This window comes from Homo sapiens, chromosome 3 (assembly GCF_000001405.40).
Source record: "Homo sapiens chromosome 3, GRCh38.p14 Primary Assembly".
NCBI classification, from domain to species: Eukaryota; Metazoa; Chordata; class Mammalia; order Primates; family Hominidae; genus Homo; species Homo sapiens.
In genome coordinates, this window is record NC_000003.12 from 164,784,291 (window position 1) to 164,810,689 (window position 26,399).

Here is a 26,399-nt window from a genome sequence, read left to right on the forward strand (position 1 = left end):
ACCTCCCAGCCGCCTGCCTTGGCCTCCCAAAGTGCTGAGATTGCAGCCTCTGCCCGGCCGCCACCCCATCTAGGAAGTGAGGAGCGTCTCTGCCTGGCTGCCTATCGTCTGGGATGTGAGGAGCCCCTCTGCCCGGCCGCCCAGTCTGGGAAGTGAGGAGCGCCTCTTCCCGGCCGCCACCCTGTCTAGGAAGAAGTGAGGAGAGTCTCTGCCTGGCTGCCCATCGTCTGGGATGTGGGGAGCGCCTCTGCCCGGCCGCCCCGTCTGGGATGTGAGGAGCACCTCTGCCTGGCCGTGACCCCGTCTGGGTACTGAGGAGCGCCTCTGCCTGGCCGCCCCGTCTGGGAGGTGGGGGGCACCCCCGCCCAGCAGCTGCCCCATCTGGGAGGTGGGGGGTGCCTCTGCCCAGCCACCCCGTGTGGGGGGTGGGGGGCCCCTCTGCCCGGCCACCACGTCTGGGAAGTGAGGAGCCCCTCTGCCCGGCCGCCACCCAGTCTGGGAGGTGTACCCAACAGCTCATTGAGAATGGGCCATGATGACGATGGCGGTTTTGTCGAATAGAAAAGGGGGAAATGTGGGGAAAAGAAAGAGAGATCAGATTGTTACTGTGTCTGTGTAGAAAGAAGTAGACATAGGAGACTCCATTTTGTTCTGTACTAAGAAAAATTCTTCTGCCTTGGGATGCTGTTAATCTATAACCTTACCCCCAATCCCGTGCTCTCTGAAACATGTGCTGTGTCAACTCAGGTTTAAATGGATTAAGGGCGGTGCAAGATGTGCTTTGTTAAACAGATGCTTGAAGGCAGCATGCTCCTTAAGAGTCATCATCACTCCCTAATCTCAAGTACCCAGGGACACAAACACTGCGGAAGGCCGCAGGGTCCTCTGCCTAGGAAAACCAGAGACCTTTGTTCACATGTTTATCTGCTGACCTTCTCTCCACTATTGTCCTATGACCCTGCCAAATCCCCCCTCTGAGAAACACCCAAGAATGATCAATAAATACTAAAAAAATTAAAAAAAGATAAACAATATTTAAAATAACTTATTTATTAACAACACAATCTTTTTACTCTCACCCAAATATTAATTATGATACTCTTAGTGAATGGCAATGTGATTAAATGTGCTTCATTATTTTTGAAAATCTTGATTAACACTTTGTGATGCAGCAAAAAAAAAAACAAAAAAACAAAAAAAAATGATTTCTTGATGACAATGTTAAAACTTAGATTAAAGTATTTCTTAGGAGAAATTACAACAAAATTCCATGATATATAACAGCTTTCAACATAACATTTCCTCTTTCACTTTTCATCACTTCTTTGACAATAGCAGAAATATGTCTTGGCAAGTACATAAACTGAGAAAAAAACTATCTTGAAGACAACCAGATTTTTTTTTTAATACAAGATCCCATTCTGTTGTACTGGCTGGAGTGTGGACTATAATGGCATGGTTGTACCTCACTGCAGTCTCAAACTCCAGGGCTCCTTAGTTTAATTAGGTCCCATTTGTCAATTTTGGCTCTTGTTGCCATTGCTTTTGGTGTTTTAGACATAAAGTCTTTGCCCATGCTTATGTCCTGAATGGTATTGCCTAGGTTTTCTTCTAGGGTTTTTATGGTTTTAGGTCTAACATTTAAGCCTTTAATCCATCTTGAATTAATTTTTGTATAAGGTGCAAGGAAGGGATCCAGTTTCAGCTTTCTACATATGGCTAGCCAGTTTTCCCAGCACCATTTATTAAATAGGGAATCCTTTCCCCATTGCTTGTTTTTGTCAGGTTTGTCAAAGATCAGATAGTTGTAGATATATGGCATTATTTCTGAGGGCTCTGTTCTGTTCCATTGGTCTATATCTCTGTTTCAGTACCAGTACCATGCTTTTTCGTTACTGTAGCCTTGTAGCATAGTTTGAAGTCAGGTAGCGTGACGCCTCCAGCTTTGTTCTTTTGGCTTAGGATTGACTTGGCAATGTGAGCTCTTTTTTGGTTCCTTATGAACTTTAAAGTAGTTTTTTCCAATTCTGTGAAGAAAGTCATTGGTAGCTTGATGGGGATGGCATTGAATCTATCAATTACCTTGGGCAGTATGGCCATTTTCATGATATTGCTTCTTCCTACCCATGAGCATGGAGTGTTCTTCCATTCGTTTGTGTCCTCTTTTATTTCCTTGAGCAGTGGTTTGTAGTTCTCCTTGAAGAGGTCCTTCACATCCCTTGTAAGTTGGATTCCTAGGTATTTTATTCTCTTTGAAGCAATTGTGAATGGGAGTTCACTCATGATGTGGCTCTCTGTTTGTCTGTTATTGGTGTATAAAAATGCTTGTGATTTTTGCACATCGATTTTGTATCCTGAGACTTTGCTGAAGTTGCTTAGCTTAAGGAGATTTTGGGCTGAGATGATGGGGTTTTCTAGATATACAATCATGTCATCTACAAACAGGGACAGTTTGACTTCCTCTTTTACTAATTGAATACCCTTTATTTCTTTCTCCTGCCTGATTGCCCTGGCCAGAACTTCCAACACAAGATGGCCGAATAAGAACAGCTCCAGTCTACAGCTCCCAGCGTGAGTGACGCAGAAGACGGGTGATTTCTACATTTCCAACTGAGGTACCGGGATCATCTCACTGGGGCTTGTCAGACAGTGGGTGCAGGACAGTGGGTGCAGTGCACCGAGCATAAGCTGAAGCAGGGCGAGGCATCACCTCACCCGGGAAGTGCAAGGGGTCAGGGAATTCCCTTTCCTAGCCAAGCAAGGCTGTGACAGAAGGCACCTGGAAAATAGGGTCACTCCCACCTTAATACTGCGCTTTTCCAATGGTCTTAGCAAACGGCACACCAGGAGATTATATCCCGCGCATGGCTCAGAGGGTCCCATGCCCACGGAGCCTCACTCATTGCTAGCACAGCAGTCTAAGATTGAACTGCAAGGTGAAAGTGAGGCTGGGGGAGGGGCGCCCGCCATTGCTGAGGCTTGAGTAGGTAAACAAAGTGACCAGGAACCTCGAACTGGGTGGAGCCCACCACAGCTCAAGGAGGCCTGCCTGCTCTGTAGACTCCTCCTCTGGGGGCAGGGCATAGCCAAACAAAAGACAGTGGAAACCTCTGCAGACTTAAATGTCCTTGTCTGACAGCTTTGAAGAGAGCAGTGGTTCTCCCAGCATGGAGTTTGAGATCTGAGAACAGACAGACTGCCTCCTCAAGTGGGTCCTTGATCCCTGAGTAGCCTAACTGGGAGGCATCTCCCAGTAGGGGCCGACTGACACCTCACACGGCTGGGTGCCCCTCTGAGACAAAGCTTCTAGAGGAACGATCAGGTAGTAACATTTTTCTGTTCAGCAATATTCGCTGTTCTGCAGCCTCCGCTGCTGATACCCAGGCAAACAGGGTCTGGAGTGGACCTCCAGCAAACTCCAACAGACCTGTAGCTAAGGGTCCTGACTGTTAGAAGGAAAACTAACAAACAGAAAGGACATCCACACCAAGACCCTATCTGTACGTCACCATCATCAAAGACCAAAGGTAGATAAAACCACAAAGATGGAGAAAAAACAGAGCAGAAAAGCTGAAAATTCTAAAAATCAGAGCACCTCTCCCCCTCCACAGGAACGCAGCTCCTTGCCAGCAATGGAACAAAACTGGACAGAGAATGACTTTGACGAGTTGAGAGAAGAAGGCTTAAGATGATCAAACTTCTCCGAATTGAGGGAATTATTTCTAGAGGATCTATGAATATCAGGATACCAGTGCACACTGTGATTTAGAACATATCACCATCATCATTGTCATCATCTCTTCTTAATCTTTAATAGTATAGCATTGTTTTATAATATGTAAGTATTACATTTTGGAAATCAAACTTTCTAAGAAATAAGACCCACAAATGATAGAAATAAAAAAGGCAATCATTGATTTCAAGTTGTTATTATAAGCTTTTAATCAACCTCAAAGAGAAATTTAGATATATGTAAATATATACACCTAAATGCCTGAATGATTTATTGAATACCAACTAAAAACTATAAAACTACATATCAGTATTATAATACCTATGGAAATTATCAAATTAAGATGCTGATTAATTACATTGAATTATAACAAAAAAAGTGTAAGTGTGACTAGAAAATTTTCCTTTTTTTTAACACTTAAAATGAGTTTTATTTAAAAAAAAAGTGGAAGTAACACTCAAGAATTGTCTAGGTTCATAGGTTAAGCATTGTTTAATCAGTTCTAATATCATTTTGAGCAGGAAAGAAAGGCCTAGGCCTATAGTAAGCAAAACTTCAATGGCTAACTCTCTATTTCTATATATTTTCTCTAGTAAAAAATCTACCCCATTTCCTAATTGCTTTTTTGAATATTTCCAATGCTATTTTTGAAGTCTGAAATACAATTTAAGACTTCTCTTAAAATAGAGAATGTATTATGTACTTAAAAATGTACACGTACAATGTATTGAAAAATACATCGTAATTTTTACAATGGCAATGTCGTTAGAGTTTAAATTACTTGTTAGGCTGTAAATCTAGAGAGCTCTGTTTTAAAAATTGATTACATAATTTTTAGAAACACAGGTTTCAGAATTAATAACACTGATTTTTATAGCTATGTTTTTAAATAATTATAATTTAATAAAGGATTATTGCTCCACCATATGTATTTATCATCATTTCCATTATTGTCAAAATCATTTTATAATTTTACCTTTTAAGAAATAAAGTATTATATATTAGATGGTCTTTTTAAGTCACAAATAAAAATTAAAACTTACTATTTAGAGGAGTGGTGAATTTAATCACTCTAGAAAATTTAATTTAAGAAAACACTGAACCACCAATTATAGTGAAATGTTTGCCAATATTGTCTTCAGCTTAACCTTGACTTATTCCACATATTTTATGCCTCCAATGTTGAAGTGACTATTATCTTTTTGGTTTCCTGTTGACAATAGGGTTGGGGTTAGCCGGCCCCTGCCCCCCACAACTTGAAGTTGATGGCTAAAATCAGCTTTATGGTTTGGACCTATGCTCCTCTTCTCTCACATTGTTTTCATAACTGGACTTTGTCCTATGCAGAGTGTTTTGTGATATTTAGTAAGCCTGACACCCTCCTCTAAATATCCAAACTCCCCTTGATTGTAGAGGATCATAGGGATATCTTCAACATATGGATAGATTTAAGATCAAAATTTGTTCATTCTACTAATTTACTATACTAAACTCTTATAACCAGGTTGCCATCTTTAACTTTGCTGCGTATCTGCTAAAAGTAGTTGGGTGGTATTTAAACAGTATAGAGATATTGGGCCTCACTAGATAGGGTTGCTTATCACAGAATATTAATGCCTCAAGTTGAAAGATACTAGTTTCTGAAGAAATCACCTAAATTTGCTTCCTCCTTGCTCTCAATAAAGTGTCCTATAATTTAATATAGAATATTTATTTTTGTGGTGTTGAGAAGAGGACTAATTTGGAAGCGATATAAGTGATATAATTGGTGAGGATTTGGACGATTTAAAATTTATTATTATTTTGTGCAGAAGTTTTAGAAACCATAGTAACTATATACATAATGATAGAATATATCAGGAAGTAAAAAACATTTCCAAACTTCAGCAGACCATACTGCTTTTTATTGTCAGACTATTACCTACATAATCATTGTGTAGGCATAAGGATAATAAATCCTGTAAGATAACTATATTTTATAGAAATGAACTGTCAACTCAGCTTCCTGTTGGCTAAATAACTTACAGTGTATTGAACCTCAGGTAATAATTACAATCTCTAAAAAACATGTTTTAAGTGAACCAGTAAGTACAAAAATGAATGAAATGTATATTTTAGGTCAAAAAGTTACAATATCTGTAACTAAGAAAAAAATACACTGGATGTTCTAAATAGCAAGATGAAAATGACAGAGGAAAGAGTCTATAAATGTCAATAGATGCTTATGCAAATTATCCAAAAAAGTACAGTGAACAAAAAGACTGAAAGAAAAATTTAGAATAATTAAATTCAAACATGCTGTTCAAGAAATGAAAAGGTTCAAGTGAACTTTTCCTAATTAATACTAAATTTTAAAATATCTGTGTGCTATTTCATAAAATGTATTTAAGCAATATTTATTTCCTGTGACTCATTTTTAAAATCATTATTTAGCAAAATCAAAGCTACTTTATCAACCCCTGTATAATTTAATATCATAAATAATTTGTATGAAAACAAATATTTTTCAAATATACCAGCTAGCTGCACTGTTTTTTACGTGATATTGAAATTAAAATAATGGTGGATGAGGCCCAAGAAAACACATGGCAAGTATTTTCAAGTGCCTAGTACCTGTTTTCCAGATATAGGAAAGTGTAATGAATAAAGTTTAATGAGAAATTGACATTTAATTAAATACTTATTTGCTGTTGCAATGCTCTTTATTTTGTTTCCTTGTTTTGAATTTTTTATTTTGATTGACACAATATATCATTATCTAACACAATATTATGATCTAATATACAGTCTACATATAAGTTAGGAGTTTTTTTTTTTTTTTTTTTAGAAGGAAATTTTTTAGGGGAAGCTTTGATAGTCTCTGAATCTCCTTTCCCTCCTTCTCTATGGAGAAATGATAGAATGTGCTTTTACTTTCAGGTCAAGCCTGGAAAAGATTCACCAATGTAACACCTAGAACATTTGATTTATATTTTGGAGCTACTGATTTTTGTTTGGGGAATCAGAAGGATTGGGAACTGTTGATGGCCAGTGTTGTAATGATAAAGCTGTTCTTGAATTGATGACTGCCTACACTTCCAATTTTTGGGGGGATTAAGGGGCACATAAAAAAAGGACATACATGTTTCCTGTGGATCACATGTAGACTACTCAAGACACCAGTGGCAAGAGGTTGTTTTGGATTTTGACCAGTATTTTGAACTACAGTTCAAGGAGCTCCAAAAGAAGCTCATTTCCAGAGGAAACAATTGTTAAGTGATTGGGTGGGTGTTAAAAAAACAAACAAACAAACAAACTGAAGGTGAGACATGACCCACGATGGAGTGTCTTCAAAGAACATGTAGTAGGAGACATCGGAGAGAAGGTTTAACTTTGAACATTAGCCAAACCCCCAAAGCACGTAAATCATCTCATGATAGCATTACACAATAAGTACATTTCACTGCTTCATTTCACTGTTTGCCTGCTCCAAATTAAAGCAAATAAATAGCCTATTGAGTGGAGAATGTGAGTAAGCACTACAAATTTTATTAGTTACACTTTCAAAAATGTAGTTTTGGATACGAATTCTGAGCATGTGGTAAAGAAATGTCATAAATACTCTGGCCATGTTGTCTCTCAGTATTTTTAAACCCTGTGAAACCAATAGCTCATTGGCTACCTCTCTGTTTGAGACTGATGAAGCAAATTACCAATTCTGATGCAGCTGTCTTCTAGTTATGTAACTCTCAGACTTTCGGATTGTCTGTGTGCCACTGTTAGATCTTCTGCTTTGCATGATTTTAATTTGTGCTGTAGATTACTGCAAATCTCATTAACCCTCACTACTTTTCTGCTTAGTTCATGCTCCCATTTTATAAGCACTTTCAAATCTCATTCCAATATATTAGTGTTGCTGCACTAACATAGTATCTCCTTACAAAAATTCTGTGCTTTAGAAAGTCAGTTTTCTTGACTTTATAACCTTTCTCTTTACACTACACTAATTTAGCATTCAGTCATATAAGAAATTTTCAGAGTCTGTGTCTTTTCATTAGGAAAGTTGGATGTATTTTTCTTCAATAGCCAACTTTGATGACCTTGGTCTTATCTTATTAAATTGCTACATCGAACTGTTACCTGTACCCTTCAAATCACAGGACGTGAAGTACCACTCTATTAAGCACTCTTTATGATACACTAAAGGTTGAACAAAGATAGTGTGTCATGTTTCCAACATAATGTTCAGTATTCAAGTCTTTATATTTCTCAAAGCACAGTGTGAGTCACCTGAGAAAACTCAATAAATGTAAGTTAAATATATTGATATTGAGACTAATTATGATCAAAATTTATTAACGGGTAACTGAATATAGTCATGCATCACTTAAAGATGGGTACTTATTCTGTGAAATGTGTCATTTAGTGATTTTATCATTGTGCAAACATTAAAAAGTGTACTTACACAAACCTAGACAGTACAGCTCACTAAACACCTGGGCTATATAGTATAGCCTGTTTCTTCTAGGTTACAAACCTATACTTCATGTTACTAAACTAAATATTGTAGGCAAATGCAAGACAAAGGTAACTATTTGTGTATCTAAACATTAAAATGGTACAGTTAAAATACAGTATTATGATCCAATGGGACTATCATCACACACGCAGCCCTGGCATTGGTTGAAACATCATCATATGGTTCAACTGTAAGTAGGATACAAGTGAGAGTCAAGGACTAAAAACAACATGGACACTGAATGTGTTGAACCAAAATCAGCCATGCTAAATGTACAACTCAGTCAATTTTATATTGATTTCTAATGATGATCCATTAAATTTTCTAGAACTTATTTAATTTTCCACTTCCCATGTCAACCATTTGCTCTACACAGATGACAATCCTCTTATTACATTGAAATGGTCAGAGAACATGTCAATTATCTGTTACTTCCTATCCACCTCCAAATTTTATTGAATTTTTATTCTTACAGTAAGGATTTTTTCCTCTTTTTCAAGTACTGCGTTTTATTTCTTTTGACTTTATTGATAATTGTCTCTTTTTGTATCTTGTCCTATTTATCTATCAAACCATTTTTGAACTTCAAGTGTTTATAAAGTTTAACTATAATAAATGAATCATTGAGAATTATTGGCTGAATGTACTCATTATCCAGGTACTTCTAAACCTTGCTTCTTGGTGTCTATCTCTACCACTTTGTAAAATGTTTCTCTTAAAGGTGTTCATTGTTTCCTCTTCTCAGTTTACATCCCTTTGACTACCAGGAACCATTAACATTACTGATCAATTTCTTATAGTTTAATTTAGTTCAACAAATAACAATCTATCAATTATGTTTCTGAAGCTAACTGACTGATAAGGCCACCGATTTTTTTTTCTTGCATACAACCTCAGGTTGCTTTAATAACTTTGGAGTTTCAGAAAAATTGAGTATCAAATGAACACTTAACTCTCCATGTATAATTTCTCAGAAAGAAGGCTTTATCTTGTGCCTTCAATGCTGAATTGTGTAAGTATGCTCACTATGATACTTTCATGATGAGAAAATTGACTTATTCTGGTGGACAACTCTAATTCACACATTGGCTTTTCAATTAAGAGAGATTAAAAGAAGAAAAATTCTGTGGCACTTGAATTCCCTATGAATATATAAATATTATGATGCTGCTTTCCAATATGCTGACTTATATGCATATAATTTGAGTATTACTTTAAGCCTAATCCCCAACTTTTTGAAGTTACACTTTTTTACTAAAAATGCATTTTAAAAACTCTTTGAATCAATTTAAATGCTTGCTTCTTGAGGAGATAATGCATATTAAAAAGGTAGTTATGAAATTTACATAGAATTGTATATATTTAACATAAACTTAACATGGCCTCTAAACGTTATTAATAGTTGTCTTCATTTAGATGGATCACATGGTATTAACATACATTATCTAAAAGATTAATTAACGGATATTTAAAAAGCCACACCCTTTCTTTCCTTTTATAGTACAAAGATCTGTAAGATAACATGCTCAGGAGTAAAATTTAACAAGTACTATTTATTGATTGTATAACTTTAATATAATCTATACCCATTTTGCATATCTATGACGATTTTAAAATTTCACAATTATGAATCACCAAGGGCATCTGCAATCAAGAGATAATTTGTGTATGGCCTTTTCCTATACCTAGCTCACTTTTCTTTGCAGATTTAAATAAATGGGTTATTCAGATCTATAACACAGTACAGTATTTATCTAAACTTGTGCTGACTCTGCAGATGTCATTTGGAATTTTTTAAATGCTCATGTTTAAACAAGAAACCTACATAATTAATTTGCAAATCACCCTTCATTATTCCAAGTTTAAATTAAGAAAATAATGCCTAAAGGAAATGCAGACTAAAAGCCTGCTTCTGGTCACACTGTTTCCACAGGGAATTTATAATCTGTCAATTTTTGTAGGGCATCATTGCCTTAATTTAAATTTGAAGAAATTTAGGATGAGTTCTTAAAGTTGCTCTGTGTATTTGTAGAAACGGGCATTTATATTTTTCCTTCATTAAATACAAGTAAAACTTTCCAAACACTGATCTAATTGTGGTATTTTGGTAATATTTATTGTCATATTTTTTCTCAAACTTCAGAATGGGAATCTTAACAAAGCTAACAATAAATAATATCTTTGCCTTTTTTTGTTCTTTTTTTTTGTTTTGTTTTGTTTTTTGAGACAGAGTCTTGCTCTGTCGCCCAGGCTGGAGTGCAGTGGTGCGATCTCAGCTCACTGCAAGCTCTGCCTTCCAGGTTCACGCCATTCTCCTGCCTCAGCCTCCTGAGTAGCTGGGACTACAGGTGCCCGCCACCGCGCCTGGCTAATTTTTTGTATTTTTAGTAGAAATGGGGTTTCACCGTGTTAGCCAGGATGGTCTCAATCTCCTGACCTCCTGATCTGCCCGCCTTGGCCTCCCAAAGTGCTGGGATTACAGGTGTGAGCCACCGCGCCCGGCCCATCTTTGCCTTTTTATGAAGTCTCTTTCTTCAATAAGTTTGTTATTAGGCACATGTTATCTCTTGTGGCATGAAATGACAAACAGCAATAAAATTGGCCCACTGAGAAATATCTTAGACCTAAAATTCCACAACTCCTGTGAGCAGCATAAGTTATTGAGAACCTGCATCAACTTTTAGTGACTAAAAGTCAAACATAAAGTGACATCCAGAAAGGGTGTGTCAGAAAACAGATGTAAGTCCAGAGAAACAATATGCATAAGGAAGAGCCAGACGTGAAAAATTCTTGAGTATAGCTAAGGGATTCTGGCAACAGGAAGATTTGGAACAATCAAGAATGGAATACTCAATAGGCAGCAAGCTTTCCATAGGCTCTGAGGTCAGACATTTGATTCTAAACCTTGAGGACACAAGCAAAAGGTAAGAGAAAAATCTTCAATGAAAGAAACACAGGGCAAAATATTAAAACAATGGCCCAAATTTAGGAAAATAAAAAGACATAGGAATAACAACGGAAGGAATATTAAGGTAGATTATAGATCTAAAAACGAGCAAAGATTCATTATTACACCTGGGATATGAAGACAGAGTGAGAACAGCAAATTTAAGTTGATGAATGGTCTTTTGAATATGAAAATAAATGTTTCCTACAGATACTATTGTAACCAGAGATTCAACATGGATAGACTACTAGTTAACTATCAAATACATATTGATAGTGAGAGCTAAAGAAGCCCTGTGAAATATAGATTTAAATAAACTGTTTCAGTGAAAATGTTAACATTTTAAAAAATATAATTTAATACAAAATATTTAAGTCTATGAGAAAAATATAAACTATTTTGTGTTCATATGAAAAACAATTTTAATTCTTTAAAAATGTACAGTTAATGTAAAATTAATTGCACGTGAATTGCAATTTAATACAATTTGACAAACATATACCGTATCGCCACAATAAAGATAATGTACATATCCATCGTCCTTCAAAAGTCTCTTAGTTTCCTTATTAATCCCTCCTTCTTTCTACTCCCAGCACCTTATCCAGACTCAAGGCAAACACTGATTTACTCTCTGTTATAGATTTGTTATTATTTTCTAGATTTTAATATCAAGATACTTACAAAGTATATATATATTTTGTCTGATTTTTTGACTCAGCATAATTATTTTGAGATTCATCTATGTTGCTACTTCAGTAGTCTACTTCTTTCTATTGCTGAGTAGTATACCATTATATGAATATACCGAAAATATTTTTATCAATTTACCTGTTAATGGAAATTTAGACTATTTTCTGTTAACATATTAGTAAAATGCTGATAATTCAGTAAGTGTACGTTTAACTTTTTAAGAAACTGTCAAACTATTTTTCAAACTGTGTGTATCATTTTACTTATGCACCAGCAATGAAAATGTTCAATAGGTCTTTATCTCTATTAACACTTGTTAGAGTGATTTTTTTTTAATTTTAGACATTCCTTTTTATGTAATTTATATACAAATTCAACACAATCCTAATCACATTCCCATGGTTTTACTTGTAGAGATCTACAAGCCGATCTTGTATATAGAAGCAAAAAAGTAGAGTAATCAAAACAATTTTGAAAGCAAAGAGCAAAGGTTGATAATTTACATTTCCCAATTTCAAAGATATGAAGATAGTGTGATATTTTTATGAGAACAGACATATCAATTAATAGATGAATAGATCTGGATGCAAAGTCCAAAAATAGACTTTATGTTTATTGTCGGTTGATTTTTGTGAATAGGTCAAGGAAAATAAATGAAGAAGAGAAAATTCACTTTAAGAAATTGTGCTGGTCAATGGAATTTGCAAAAAAATTGAGCCTACTCTTAAATGTAAGCACTAAAACCATAAATTATGTAGAAAAAATATAGAAGAAAACTTTAGTTGTTTTGGATTAGGCAAAGGCAGACATATATATTCACACATATATATGACCCTAAAATAATAAAAGAATAATCGGTAAAAGAAAAAATTATAAATTAGACTATATCAAAATTAATATACCTATTTTTCTAATAATACGGCTTTGAAAAATTTATAAGACAGGTCATAGCCTGAGTAAACATATTTGCAAATCATATATCTGCTAAAGAACGTGTATTCATAAAATAAAAGGCAAACTTACAACTAACTAATAAGAAGACAATCCAGTTTAAAAAAAATGGCCAAAGAATTAAATAAATATTTTACCAAAAATATTTATATATGATGAATAGCACATGTTTCATTGGATAATTTCTATTATTACATATTCAAAGTCACCATTCCTTTCTTCTGTATTTTCTACTCTGTTTTTAATCTCATATAAAGGATTTTTGAAAAATCTTAGACATTTTATTTTTTATAAGTTTTATTTGAATCTTTCCACTTCTCCTATGTCACTACTGAAACATTTTAAATGCTTCCTCTACCTTCTTGAACATATGAATTATAATAATTTTAATGTAATTGTATACTAAGCCTAATATCTGTTTCATTTTTCTATTAATTTTGATTTTTTAACCATCCCCTCATTCCCACTAACAACACTTAACTGCCATATATTTCACTGATTTGGTTTTCCTCATCCATTTAACTTTTCTTTTCTCCTTTTTCTTCTTCTAGCTAGTACATAAATATAAAAATCTTGCATTCATCTCTGTTTAACACTATTTCCTTCTTTTCATAGTATACCTATGTAATACTGTTTCTTTTCTTGACTTCAGAGATTTCCAGAATTTTATTTGCTTTCTGTGTGCCTAAAAGAAATATTTTACTGTATCTGCTCTCTGCTATTATTCACTTCATGTATGCACTTTTTCTTTCTTTCTCTATCCGATCACCCATGAGATATCTATGCATTTATGTGCAAATAGAATTGATTTTTGTACTTCCAAATCTGTTTTCCATCTTACATTTTTTCTTGGTCTGTCTGCTAGATTACAGCATGTTCTTATGATCAGTCTTGTTAACTTGGAAAAGGTTGCTTAAGTTTTCCATTATAATACTAATATCCAGTTACCTTATCTGTACAATTAGACATTAATTACATTATTTCATTCACTGAAACTGACATAAGATCCTAATATTGGACCGCACTAGGATTCTATCCTCAGGTCTCCATTGACACTCAACTCCTTTTGTGACCTTATCCAGAATAGTGGGCTTAAATTACCCGTTTGTGCTTGCAGTGCAACACTCAAAATCTTCCCTAAATGCCCGACTCCTTTATATGATTAAAATTATGACAGATATTCAAAACTAAGTCTAAAGCAGAGCTCCTAACATTCTCATTGAATGTGTTCCTCTCGCATGCTTCCTCATCTAAATAAACATGGTGACTCCATCATTCCAAGTGCTCAGACCACAAATCTTGAAGTCAACCTGTCTCCCCTTTCTTTCCCATTATAGAATCCATCCGTCCACAAAATCTGTTGGCTCTACTTTCAAAATATATTCAGAAACCTATGACTTCTCTTAATCTTCATCTCTATAGACTGGCCTACACTTCTAAATCAAATAGTTGAAGGAGCATCTTAATTTGTATCTGCGGTTCCACGCTTTCTCCTCTTCAGTCTCCAGTTATCTTTTTAAAGCATTTACTCAAATCAACCACCTTCCTACCTCTCTGACCTCATCACATACTGTCCTTCCCTCTCATTCAATCTCCAGCCACTTTGGCTCCCTGGTAATCATCTGCCTGTGATGCTTTTAATTTGGGCATTGGAATGGCTCAATCCCAAACTCGTTTCATGTTTTTCTTCATGTGTTACTGAGGCTTTTCTTATCTACTTATGTAACAATAAAATCCTTCTCTCATTCTGGTGCCATTTCCACTTATACACAAAGCAGGAGATAAATTATTTCTCCCAAATATTTACTTATATTTCATGTAAGGGTATTACGTATCTCTCCTTTTTGGAAGAATATACTTGCCTTCAGCACTGAAATCACATTTGGCCACCTGAATTGCTTGATTTATAAGGTAAGAACAAAAGTAGCTGCATTCCAATTAGAACAGAGGTTTTAATAGCCATCATATGGTTTTGTTAAAGAGACTTCAATTAAAAGTTTGCTGCACTTTTGAGTCTTCCACGACAATGCTTTGTCCCAGATTAGAATTGCTTCTTTTGCTTAGATTACATAATGAATAAAATACATAGAGCAGAATCAGAGCTAGAACAGAGCCATATCTTACCCTGGTCAATAAAAGGCATAGTGATTTCAGAATTGTTGATTACTACAGCATAATTTAACAGTTAAAGCTGACCATGTAGACATATTTTATATTTTCCATTTTATTTATTATCTTCCTCACAAATGTATGCCTTCCATGAGAGCAAGGACTTGGACTGTTTTTTTCCTCTTTTAACCCAAGAACTGACAATAATGCCCAATACATGGTTGGTAGTCAGTAAATGTTTGCTTAATGGATGACTGAATAAATAAATGAATATGATTATTTAATGGAATAATACAGACTAATCATCACTAAGTATTTGGTAAATAATAAATTATCAAATACTAAATTAGAGTTATAATTATCAAATACTAAATCAGAATTATAATAAGTACCATGTCTTTTTAACTTTGATAGTCTCCATAGTGTGGAACTGAGAGATTTGCACGTAGTATGTGCTTAATGTAAATTTTCTGAATGTAATTAAATTGATATTTACCATCAGTTGGTGTCAGAGGATAAGAAATTTCAAATATGTTTTTGAATTATTAATGGGTTTCTAAAGTAGTGTGTGAATTTTAGTCTCTTTACAGATTGTAAAAGATACACTTTAATTGACTCAAGCTGTCTACTGATGATCTGAATACTAATGAGTCCCCTGTAGGCTCATATTGGAAAGATCATGAACCCTCAGTCTTACTAGACATTAACAATTAAGATTAGATTTGATTTAATATGTCAACAAAGATGTACTGGGTACTTATTATATGCAGGCACTAAACAAGGAGCTCTGAAAATAATTTAAAAGATGATTATAGATGCATATATCCTATCACTGTATTGGGTATGCTAGCTGAAAAGCCCAAGATAAAGTGACAGATATCATTATATTTGAACTAAGATGTGTAGCAGAATTTTCTTTTAGTTCTTGATGGAAATGAGAAAATAAAGTATATGAGAACTTTGATTTTATTTGGCATAATATTTTCATTATTCTGTCATTTTTATTCACAGAATTATAAGAGAGAGAGTTAATTAATAATTCACTTAGCATATACTCATTGAATGTGTATAATGTTCAAGGTGATCTGATAGGATCCTTGTACTAAAATGATGCAGAGAGGGTTTTTCCTCTGAAAAAGCTTCCAAAGAGCAACTTCTTGTAAAAATATTGTTAGACAATAATATGTTAAAATCCTGTTAGAAAAATCATCCTGAACCTGTAAGTCACCTAATTAATTGTAGGCTATGGGGAATGAATGCTATTTCCTCCTAATGAAGAGAAAATAACAGTTTTTAAACTAGTGTGACTGGAGGACAGATTCCCCCTAGGAAGCTGGGAAGGTCCTGAGATGACCAAATATCCAAGTACAGTCATTATCAGCCCACATTATCCCCATTTGCTTGTCTCAGTGTGCCATACAAATATTATTTTTTTCTATATGCACAATAATATGAAAAAGTTTGGGAATTACTACTCTAGAGGTTTCTACTCTTTTATCAGAACAATTAAAGATTTTGTCATGAAAGTTTCATTACATAGTTTAACTATCTCATAAATGTTACTCAGACGTATTTATTTATTTATTTATATTATTATTATTATTTTTGAGATGGAGTCTCGTTCTGTTGTCCAGGCTGGAGTGCAGTGGCCTGATCTCTGCTCACTGCGAGCTCCGCCTCCCAGGTTCATGCCATTCTCCTGCCTCAGCCCCCCGAGTAGCTCGGACTACAGGCGCCCGCCACCAAGCCCGAGCAATTTTTGGTATTTTTAGTAGAGATGGGGTTTCACCGTGTTAGCCAGGATGGTCACAATCTCCCGACCTCGTGATCCGCCCGCCCTGGCCTCCCAATGTGCTGGGATTATAGTAGACAACAGAAGAGAGACAGCACTGGTAAAGGAAATAGGCTTCCCTGGATCTCCCTATGTCTTTATAGAGATAAACCTCAGGATTCCTGGCACTTGCTTGCTTCCTTTTTTAAACTATTTTTTTACATTTTAGATTCAGAATTTACATGTGTGTGTGTTTTTTTTTTCTCCCCTCTATTTTTCTGTCTGACATCACGTTTTGAATTTTTTTTTTAATTGATAAGTTAGCCACAGCAAATATTCTATATCATCTTGTATTAGGCCATTTTTATGCTGCTGATAAGGACATACCTAAGACTGGAAAGAAAAGGAGATTTAATTAGACTTACAGTTCCAAATGGCTAGGGAGGCCTCAGAATCATGGTGAGAGGTGAAAAGCACTTCTTACATGGCGGTGGCAAGAGAAAAATGAGGAAGAAACAAAACTGGAAAACCCTGATAAACCCATCAGATCTCGTGAGGCTTATTCACTATCATGAGAATAGCACAGCCCCCATGATTCAATTATCTCCCCTGGGTCCCTCCCACAACACCTGGGAATTCTGGGAGATAAAATTCAAGTTGAGATTTTGATGGGGACACAGTCAAACCACATCACGTCTAGGCACTTTTGTGTATTTCTAAAATATGCACATTTTTATTTTGTATGTTTAATGTGGAAACATGAGTTACTATTTTAGTAACACTTTGTAAACTGTTTCAAAGTTTCTACTTATTCTCTCTGGATACTTTTTTTTTTTTTTCATTTTCAATATCCAACTTCAGAAGTGCCCCACTAAGCTAAGTAAAACAGTTTTTCGTATTCCTATGAAAACTTTCAAGATCTGTAATATATTACTGTACCTATAATATTTTATTTTATATATAGCATCCAGTGTTTTTCAAAGTTATTTAACCATATATACCATTTTTTGTTTTCCTGTGAGCACTAAAGCATTTAATAGGAGTAATAGTCAATGAAATACTGGGAAACAGATATTGAGTTAACTCAAAATTGTAAAATTTTCAACCATCCTAATATTGGATTGTCAGGATTTAATGCAGTTTCAAGCAAAATCTAATGAGTTTTTATTTGTTTGTTTAGTGCAAAATGACACAATGAAGTTAAATTTATTTGGAAATTCAAGGGGTCCAAAACAGCTGTGGTCTATCAGTCATAAATTGCTATATTAAAAACTGCCCCAAAACACAGAGGCTTCAAAAAACATTAATTTATTAGCTCACCATTTTGTGGGTGAGTAATTTAGGCTAAGGTTAGCTGAGCAGCTCTTCAGTTGGTCTCACCTGAACTCTTTCATGCTGTCAGACTAAGCTGGTAGCTCAACAGAGGCTGGCCAGCCCAAGAGGGAGCCAGTCATTTGTTGGCAGTTGGTATGGGTGGTCAGCTGGGCCTCTCTCTACATAGTATCTCATCCAATGGGAGGTTAGCCTAAACTTTTTTACTTGACAGTCAAAGGGCTCCAAGGAGGCAAAAATGAAAGTCACAAGGCCTCATGAACCCTAGGTTCGGAAGTCACATAGTAATGATTTCCTTCACTTTTACTTTATTAGAGCAACTCATGAGGTCAACTCAAGATTCAAACAGAATTCACGGCCATTTTTAATCCACCACAAAAGAGAATCTTGAAAGAGAATGAAAAAGTTGGAAGCCTGCACTAATGAATATCATCTTCACCACCTCAAACAATTATCATTTCTTTATCTTGGAAACATTTCAGCTCTTCTCTTAAAGCTATTTTGAAATAAATAAAATATTATTATTAGCCATAGTCAGCCTATTGTGCTATCAAACACTAGAGCTTTCTATTGCTTGTATGTTTGTACCATTAACCAACTTCTCTTCATTCTTACCCAGCCTCTGGTAACTATAATTCTATTCTTTATCTCCATGAGATCAACTTTTTTATCTCCTACATATGCGTGAGAACATGTGTCGTCTTTCTGCGTCTAGCTTATTTCACATAACATAATGACCTCTAGTTCCATTTATGTTGCTGTAAATGACAGGTTTCTATTATTTCTTTAAGGCTGAATGGTATCACATTGTGTTCATATACTATGTACAACCATTGTGGAAAACAGTGTGGAAGTTCCTTAAAAAACTAAAAATGAGACTAGCTTCTAGCAATGCCAGCACTGGGTACATATCAAAGGGAAGAAAATCAATATATCAAAGCGATACTAGCACCGCCATGTTTATTGCAGCACTATTTGCAATAGCTTAGATATGAAATCACACTAAATGTTCATCAACAGATGAATGGCTAAAGAAAATGCAGTGGTCGGGCACAGTGGCTCACGTCTGTAATCCCAGCACTTTGGGAGGCTGAGGTGGGCAGATCACGAGGTCAGGAGTTTGAGTCTGACTAACATGGTGAAACCCCGTCTCTACTAAAAATAAAAAAATTAGCCGGGCGTGGTGGCACGTGCCTGTAATCCCAGCTACTCAGGGGGCTGAGGCAGGAGAATCGCTTGGACCCAGGAGGCGGAGCTTGCAGTGAGCTGAAATCGCGCCACTGTACTCCAGCCTGGGTGACAGAGTGAGACTCTGTTTCAAAAAAAAAAAAAAAAAAAAAAAAGCAGTATATATTATTGCATTAGGTTTAAAATTTAATTTAAAATATAGTTTAATTTCAAAATTTAATTTAATTTTAATTTATTGCAGCTAAGTAAGACAATAACCTTGTTTTCAGGAAATAGACACTAAAAAATTTAAGGATTGAGGTGATGGTATGTGCAACTGCAACCCCACCTGAAGGTCTTCTGAGACTCAACTAGACATTCAAGTGACAAGATTCACTTGAATGACTTGAGTGACAAGATTCTCATGGGTACCACTCCAATCAGAAGTAACAGGGCAGAAACCACAGCTTGCCAGAATGAGTGTCAGGTATTGCTTTTCTCCAGGAGTCCTTATTGCAGTGCAATATTTCAAAGGCATGATAAAAATCAGGAGGCTACAGGAGCTGATATAGCTTTAAAATATCTGGCCCCACAGGATCAATATCTTTTATAATATTTATATAAGCCATTATTTTAGGGTTTCTGCAAAGGACATGCCAGTTATGGGATTTGGTATAGTCAGAGAAGACCCCAGTATAGTTTTCTATCAGCTACTCATGCAGTTTATTAATTAAAGGTCATTTTTACCTTAAGCAATGCTATGGTTTGAATTTTTGCTCCCTCCAAAAATGTTAAAATTTGGTTGCCCCTGAGGCAGTGTTAGGAGGTGAGACCTTAGAGAAGTGCCAAAGCCCTGCGAGCTCTGTTGTCAATGATGGGATTCATGCCATTATGAAAGGGCAAAATTGGACCCCTCCTGCTCTCTTTGACCTTCTCCCTTTTACCATGTGATGACACAGCTAGAAGGCCACCACTAGATGCCAGCTCCTTGATCTTGAATTTCCTGGCCTCCAAAAATGTGAGCTCATTATAAATTACTGAGTCTTAGATACTCTGATAGCTGCACAGAACAATCCAAGACAAGCAGCCAGTAACACCTTTATACATATACATATATATATATATATACGTATATATATATATATATACATATATATATAAAGAGGAGTAAAGAGGAGTTTATTAAATATTAACTTACATGATCACAAGGTCCCACAACAGGTCATCTGCAAGCTGAGGAGCAAGGAGAGCCAGTCCAAGTCCCAAAACTGAAGAACTTGGAGTCCGATGTTCAAGGGCAGGAAGCATCCAGCATGGGAGAAAGATGTAGGCTGGGATGCTGGGCCAGTCTAGTCTTTTCACGTTTTTCTGCCTGTTTTATATTCTAGCCATGCTGGCAGCTGATTAGATGGTGCCCACCCAGATTAAGGGTGGGTCTGCCTTTCCCAGCCCACTAACTCAAATGTTAATCTCCTTTGGCAACACCAGCACCCACACAGACATACCCAAGATCAATACTTTGCATCCTTCAGTCCAATCAAGTTGACACTCAGTATTAACCATCACAAATTTATTTTATAAGTCCACTTACCTAACAATCTTATTCAGTAGGTTTAATCATGGACAATGTATTAAGGGCATATTTTCTTAAAATTTTACATTCTTTGAAACATTTTATTAGAAATTCCTTCAGTAAACATTCTCTAAGCATCTATTACATTAGATTCTATTACATTTGAATATGAAAAAGCATTTAGGAATAATTCACAATCCTTCTGAAGTATGTGTTTTTCCTTCCATTTTGCAGATAAGTAAAGCTAAGGATGAATATAAAGTCTAACCAGATGGGAAAATATGATTTTTTTTACTACAGAGAACAATATTTTTCATAATTATGCATATATATTTTATTTTAGCAATGTAGAACTATACACTAATGTTGTGTAACATAATGCATAGTAATACCTAAATGATCTTCACAAGGCATGGAAAACTCAACCCTAACATTTTGAGCAGCACCTCCAACGTCTAAATTCATATAGTTTAACCATTACTCAGTGAGTAAAAGATGTACATTTCTAGTAATTTTAGTGAGTCATAGATATATTCTGTGTAATTATTTTATGTTCAAGTGCATTTGAATTTGACAGTATTATTTAACCTAAAAATTTATTTTGGATATAGTAAGTACTATGTCAACATCAATAACCACTATAGTGGAAACATCTCACATTTCTAAAAATTATGAACAAGTTAGTATCACAAATATTATTGCTTATTATTCTTACAAGAATGTTGTAGATATTATTTCCATGTTAGATGTGGGGAAATTAAGGCCCATGACCAGCTCAAATACATATACTTAGTAAGAAATAGATATAAACAATATCATATTGAAAGTTTTCTAGCCAATATTTTTCCCATCTCACCAAAAGTAAGTAAATATTTCCCCCAAAAACCTTTATGTAACAACAAGATGAGCAACAACCTGTCTTTTATCTAAGCTTAAGCTCTTTAGGAAAGAAGAGTAGCCAAAGCTGTAAGTCTTGGAAAATTTGACTTTTATTACACCACGAGAGATTTCAGAGTTCTTAAATTTTTAAAGCCTATGCTCATAGCAACTGTTCTAAATTGTCCTTGAATGTTGCTAAGACTCGAGGGAGAAAAGGGGGCCAGGTCTCAAAGAAAGCTCGATTCTCCACATGCAAGGTACAGATGCAATGAGTGGTGATATCCTACTACTGCAAAGGACAGTGGTCTGAAAGTTGAGGAAGAGGCTGTGATTGCTAGAGACTCATCAATAAACATCTTAAAAATTATAGTGAACATACTGGTTCCAAGACTTATATGTGACGAAAGTAGATACCATAAGCAGCAGAGCCACCTAAGGCCAACGGGCCAAATGGACCCAGCCAATAAGCAACACAGCATGGTTTTTCATGAACTAAAGAACAAAGCACTTTGGCAAAAAATTCTCACATTGAGTATGCCCTGGGCTCTGTGGGAGCTAGAGTTCCCTAGAAAGCAGAATTTTTGAAAAAGGTTTAAATTAAATGACTTTATTGCATAATGTGATCTAGAGAGCAGGAGTGAGTAAGAAGTGTGATACCAAAAAAGGAGGGAGAGTCGATATATACAAATAATTGTTTGCTCATTCTAACAGGAACTCCTGAAGAGTAAAATGAAATGCATCTCAGGACTAACCCTGAGGGACACAGAGAATTATACACCATAGGTCAAAGGTTGTCCCTCAAGGGGCATAAAGGTAACCAATTTAGGAAATACAAGAGCTGTTCTGGGTATCTCTACTGCTACCTTAACAGCGAAGCCCAAGGGCAAAATGCAACAGAAGCTCACAGCAGGAGCTGCAGAGCTGGATACAGGAGTAGTAAATAAAATTAAATTTATATTCTAGCCACACTGGAGGCTGATTAGATGGTGCCCACCCATATTAAGGGTGGGTCTGCCTTTCCCAGCCCACTGACTGAAATGTTACTCTCCTTTGGCAAAAAAAAAAAAAAAAAAAAAAAAAAAAAAAAAAAAACAACAACAAAAAAAACTATGATGCAAAAACATAGAATCCACCCAAATGCCATCAGTGGTGGACTGGATAAAGAAAATGTGGTACATATACACCAAGGAATACTACATAACCATAAAAAATGAAATCTTGTCCTATGCAGCAGCATGGGTGAAGGTGGAGGCCAATATCCTAAGTGAGCTAACACAGGACCAGAAAACTAAATGCCTCATGCTCTCACTTGTAAGCGGAAGCTAAACACTGAGCACATATTGACATAAACATGAGAACAATAGACACTGTGGACTACTCGAGTAGAATGGGAAGGAACTGTGCGTGGGTTGAAGAACTACCTGTGGGTACTATGCTCACCACCTAGATAATGGGATCTGTATCCCAAACCTCAGAGGCACTCAATATTCTCATGTAACAAACCTGCATATATACTCCTTTATCTAAAATAAATGTTGAAATTTAAAAAGAAAGAAAGAAAAGAAAAGAAGAAAGGAAGAAAAGAGGAAAGAAGAAAGAAAAGGAAGGGAGGGAGGGAGGGAAAGAAGGAAGGAAGGAAGGAAGGAAGGAAGGAAGGAAGGAAGGAAAATAAAGGAAAAGAAATCTGTGAGGGCGTATTAAATAATGCACAAGAGAGGTTCCATATCAACTGCTCTGATATAACTCAGATACAGACATAACCCTATTAAGGCTACTTCATCACAAAGCTCCCACTAAGGGAAAGATCCACTTTGGTCTCTGAAAAGAATGAAAGTAAGAGGCTCATGAAAACAAATCTTCATTGGTGCATTTATTTGTAAGGATATTCATCCCTATTCTCCCTTTCTTACTTTCATTTGCCTGCACCCTTAGCTAGCATTCTGACTAGTCTCCATTGTTCAATTTATCACCGAAGAGTCTAGATACTTTTTTTGCTCTTGTCAAGCTATGATTCTTCAATTGTGCATTTACCATTTAATTATCTGGATCTGGATGATCTGGATGTATTTTTCCATGTTCCTACTGCCTACCAGCAATCCTGGTTCTTGATGGAAATCAGAATTAAATGATTCTTACAGATAGAGTAAACTTTTTTCTATGCCTACTGCATTGTTTGTGTTAAGAACCTCCCTTTGACCAGGTGGTAGTCATAGCTTCAAGTTCAGTGAACCTTTATTACATTCCCTTGAAAAGGAAGCTTTAATTCTGAAAACATAGACCTTAAAATCCACTACACCTTCAGAATAATACATTCAAGTAGGAAACTGAGAATCATGTTGAGAAGGACCAATACCACTTCCTCAGTTTCAAAATCCATGTAGTCTAGGTACAGAAACAAAGTATCATATATATGCCATTGTTTCCTTACATATTCAGGATCCTGAAGAGATAGCATTATAATCTGCAGAGTATTGTCCTTAAACCATCACCTTAGCTCAACTTTCAACAAGCCCTTCTTTATTCTGTTAGATCAGCTGCATCAGGGTGTTGGGATATATGAAAATGCCAGTGGGTCCTATGACCGTGAATCCATTTTACCATCTCTTTTGCCATAAAATATATCTTCTGGTAGAAGACAATATTGTCCTTGCTATGTCTATAAACCCCAGGATAGCAGAAGAGTGATGCTTGCAGAAATAGTGCACTGGGGAAGCAAATATATATCAAGAATAGATGCAAACTGAGAAGTCCAGGGCTGAGGGGGACAGGCACGAGGGAAGAGGCTTGGACCTGAAGTGAAGTGTTCTCAAATTAAACCTTCATGAAGCTAGTCAAAGCCCAAACATAACAGGTTGATGCAGCCATGGATTTATGGGTCTGAACTGGTGAATATTATGTTTGATGCCAGGTTCTAGGTATCAAGGGAGAGAAAGGAGATTCCTTAAATTACTAAGGTTTGATTTTCAGCTCACTTGCAAGACACCTGAATTATTTAATTTCACTTAAGAAATATGGCCTTCCTTGCAGTAAAGTTTCTTATAAAAATTCACACACTTCATATTCAATAATATTTATATCTATGGAAAATAATAAAATGGATCAATGGGCCTTTCATTTCTAGAAAAGAGGTAAAACATACCTGGAATTTGAAACCTAAACAATCCTAAAAAGCAACCACAAAGAGTTGCTGGAGCTATGCCGTTGCTGCTTAGGCACTGGACTTCTGGCCTATTTGGCCATATTTGGACAAATATTCCAAGTGCTTATCCTAGAGTGATAAGTTATACAAATTCTTGAGTCAAGGACAATATTCTGAAATCCAACAGTTATTGTTTTTGGTCTCTTGAAAGTTGCCTTCCACTGTACTAACAGTTTTTTACTAACAGTTAAAAAACAGAGCAGCATTAGCCCTGAGGTAGTCCGCACTTACCGTGTTAAAACTCTTGGTCACCCACTGCTTTAATCATAATTCTCTCTCATTGTTTCTTATAAAATCAAAACGACCTGACATTTCCACAGCTGATATTTGTTTTTCTATAGGCAAAATCCAGCTGACAGTAAATATTAGACACCAAATGCTTCACACGTATTGCTTGGGTTTTCTTTTTTCAGCAGACTTGCAGATAAGGATATTGTGAAGCACATGCTTACTTATGCTTGATTGCTGTTACAATGCTTATAAGGATGAATTCTCAACTAGAAAGATGAACTTCTGGAATTTTCTCCTGTAATCATCAGAACTATGAATATATGCAAACGGTGTTAAAACAAAAAATGAATTTCAGCCTTTTCCTTCTTTGCATGACAAATTAGTTCCTTGGTTATTTGAAGAACAAGAGCAAAGCATCGCAGGAGTAATAGTTTAGATTGCTTAGTATAAACATCTTCCTATTAGAAAACAGAGACAAATGAGTTTCAATAGGAATTACTATAAATGTTGAGCTTTCCTTCCTTTACAAAACGTTCATCAACCAGTAGAGCAAAGAGCATGCATTGATAGAAAAGGCTCTGTACAAAGCATAGGTTGAAATTTCGTCTCTCATATGTGAGTCATGCAATAGTTGACCAGTCTCTTAAACTTACTGGTCCTTTGTTTTCTCATTTGTTTTTCCCAACTGAGAGTAGACAAATAAATATTTGGAGGTCATTTAGTGTCTAAGTGTGAGCTTTCTACAGAATGTAGGATAGTGTTTTAAGAATTTCAGATTCAATTTGTGTAAGATTTTTCAACTTTTTCACCTTTCTAATCCTACGGGGTAATATTTACAACAATGCTTCACATTTTTATATTGTGAAATGTTTTCCAAAGTGTTTTATTATATATTACATCTGAACTTCCAAATCATTATGTGAGGTAAGCTTCACAATGCAGATGTTATCATCTGCAACTCAGTGGGGTAAAAACTCAAGATATTATACCCATTAAGCCTTAAAATAGTGTCTGAAAGTAAAATCCTCCCATTGTAATTAAAAACTAACTTTTGGGCTTTTTTTCTTCTACTCTATGTCTAATTTATTGATAATTCAAAGGCAGATTATTGAAGTGAAAATATTGATTAAATTTTTTGAAAAGAAGAAATTGAAATGAATTTAGAGAAGGAGGAAAAGAAGAAGGGAGAGAAAGAGGAAAAGAGAGAAAGAAAGTATGAGAGGCAGAGAGGAAAAGAGAAGAAGGGAAGGAAGGAAAGAAAAGAAGGAAGGAAGGAAGAAAGGAAGGAAGGAAGGAAGGAAAGAAGGAAGGAAGGAGAG

The 26,399-nt window shown here is 35.7% G+C and overlaps 1 long non-coding RNA gene across 1 annotated transcript in view; it reads right to left on the reverse strand.

The window, feature by feature from the left end:
• LINC01324 (long intergenic non-protein coding RNA 1324) overlaps positions 1–26,399 on the reverse strand; it is a 117,386-nt gene that overhangs the window by 70,196 nt on the left and 20,791 nt on the right. The gene's annotated exons all lie outside the window — the stretch shown is intronic.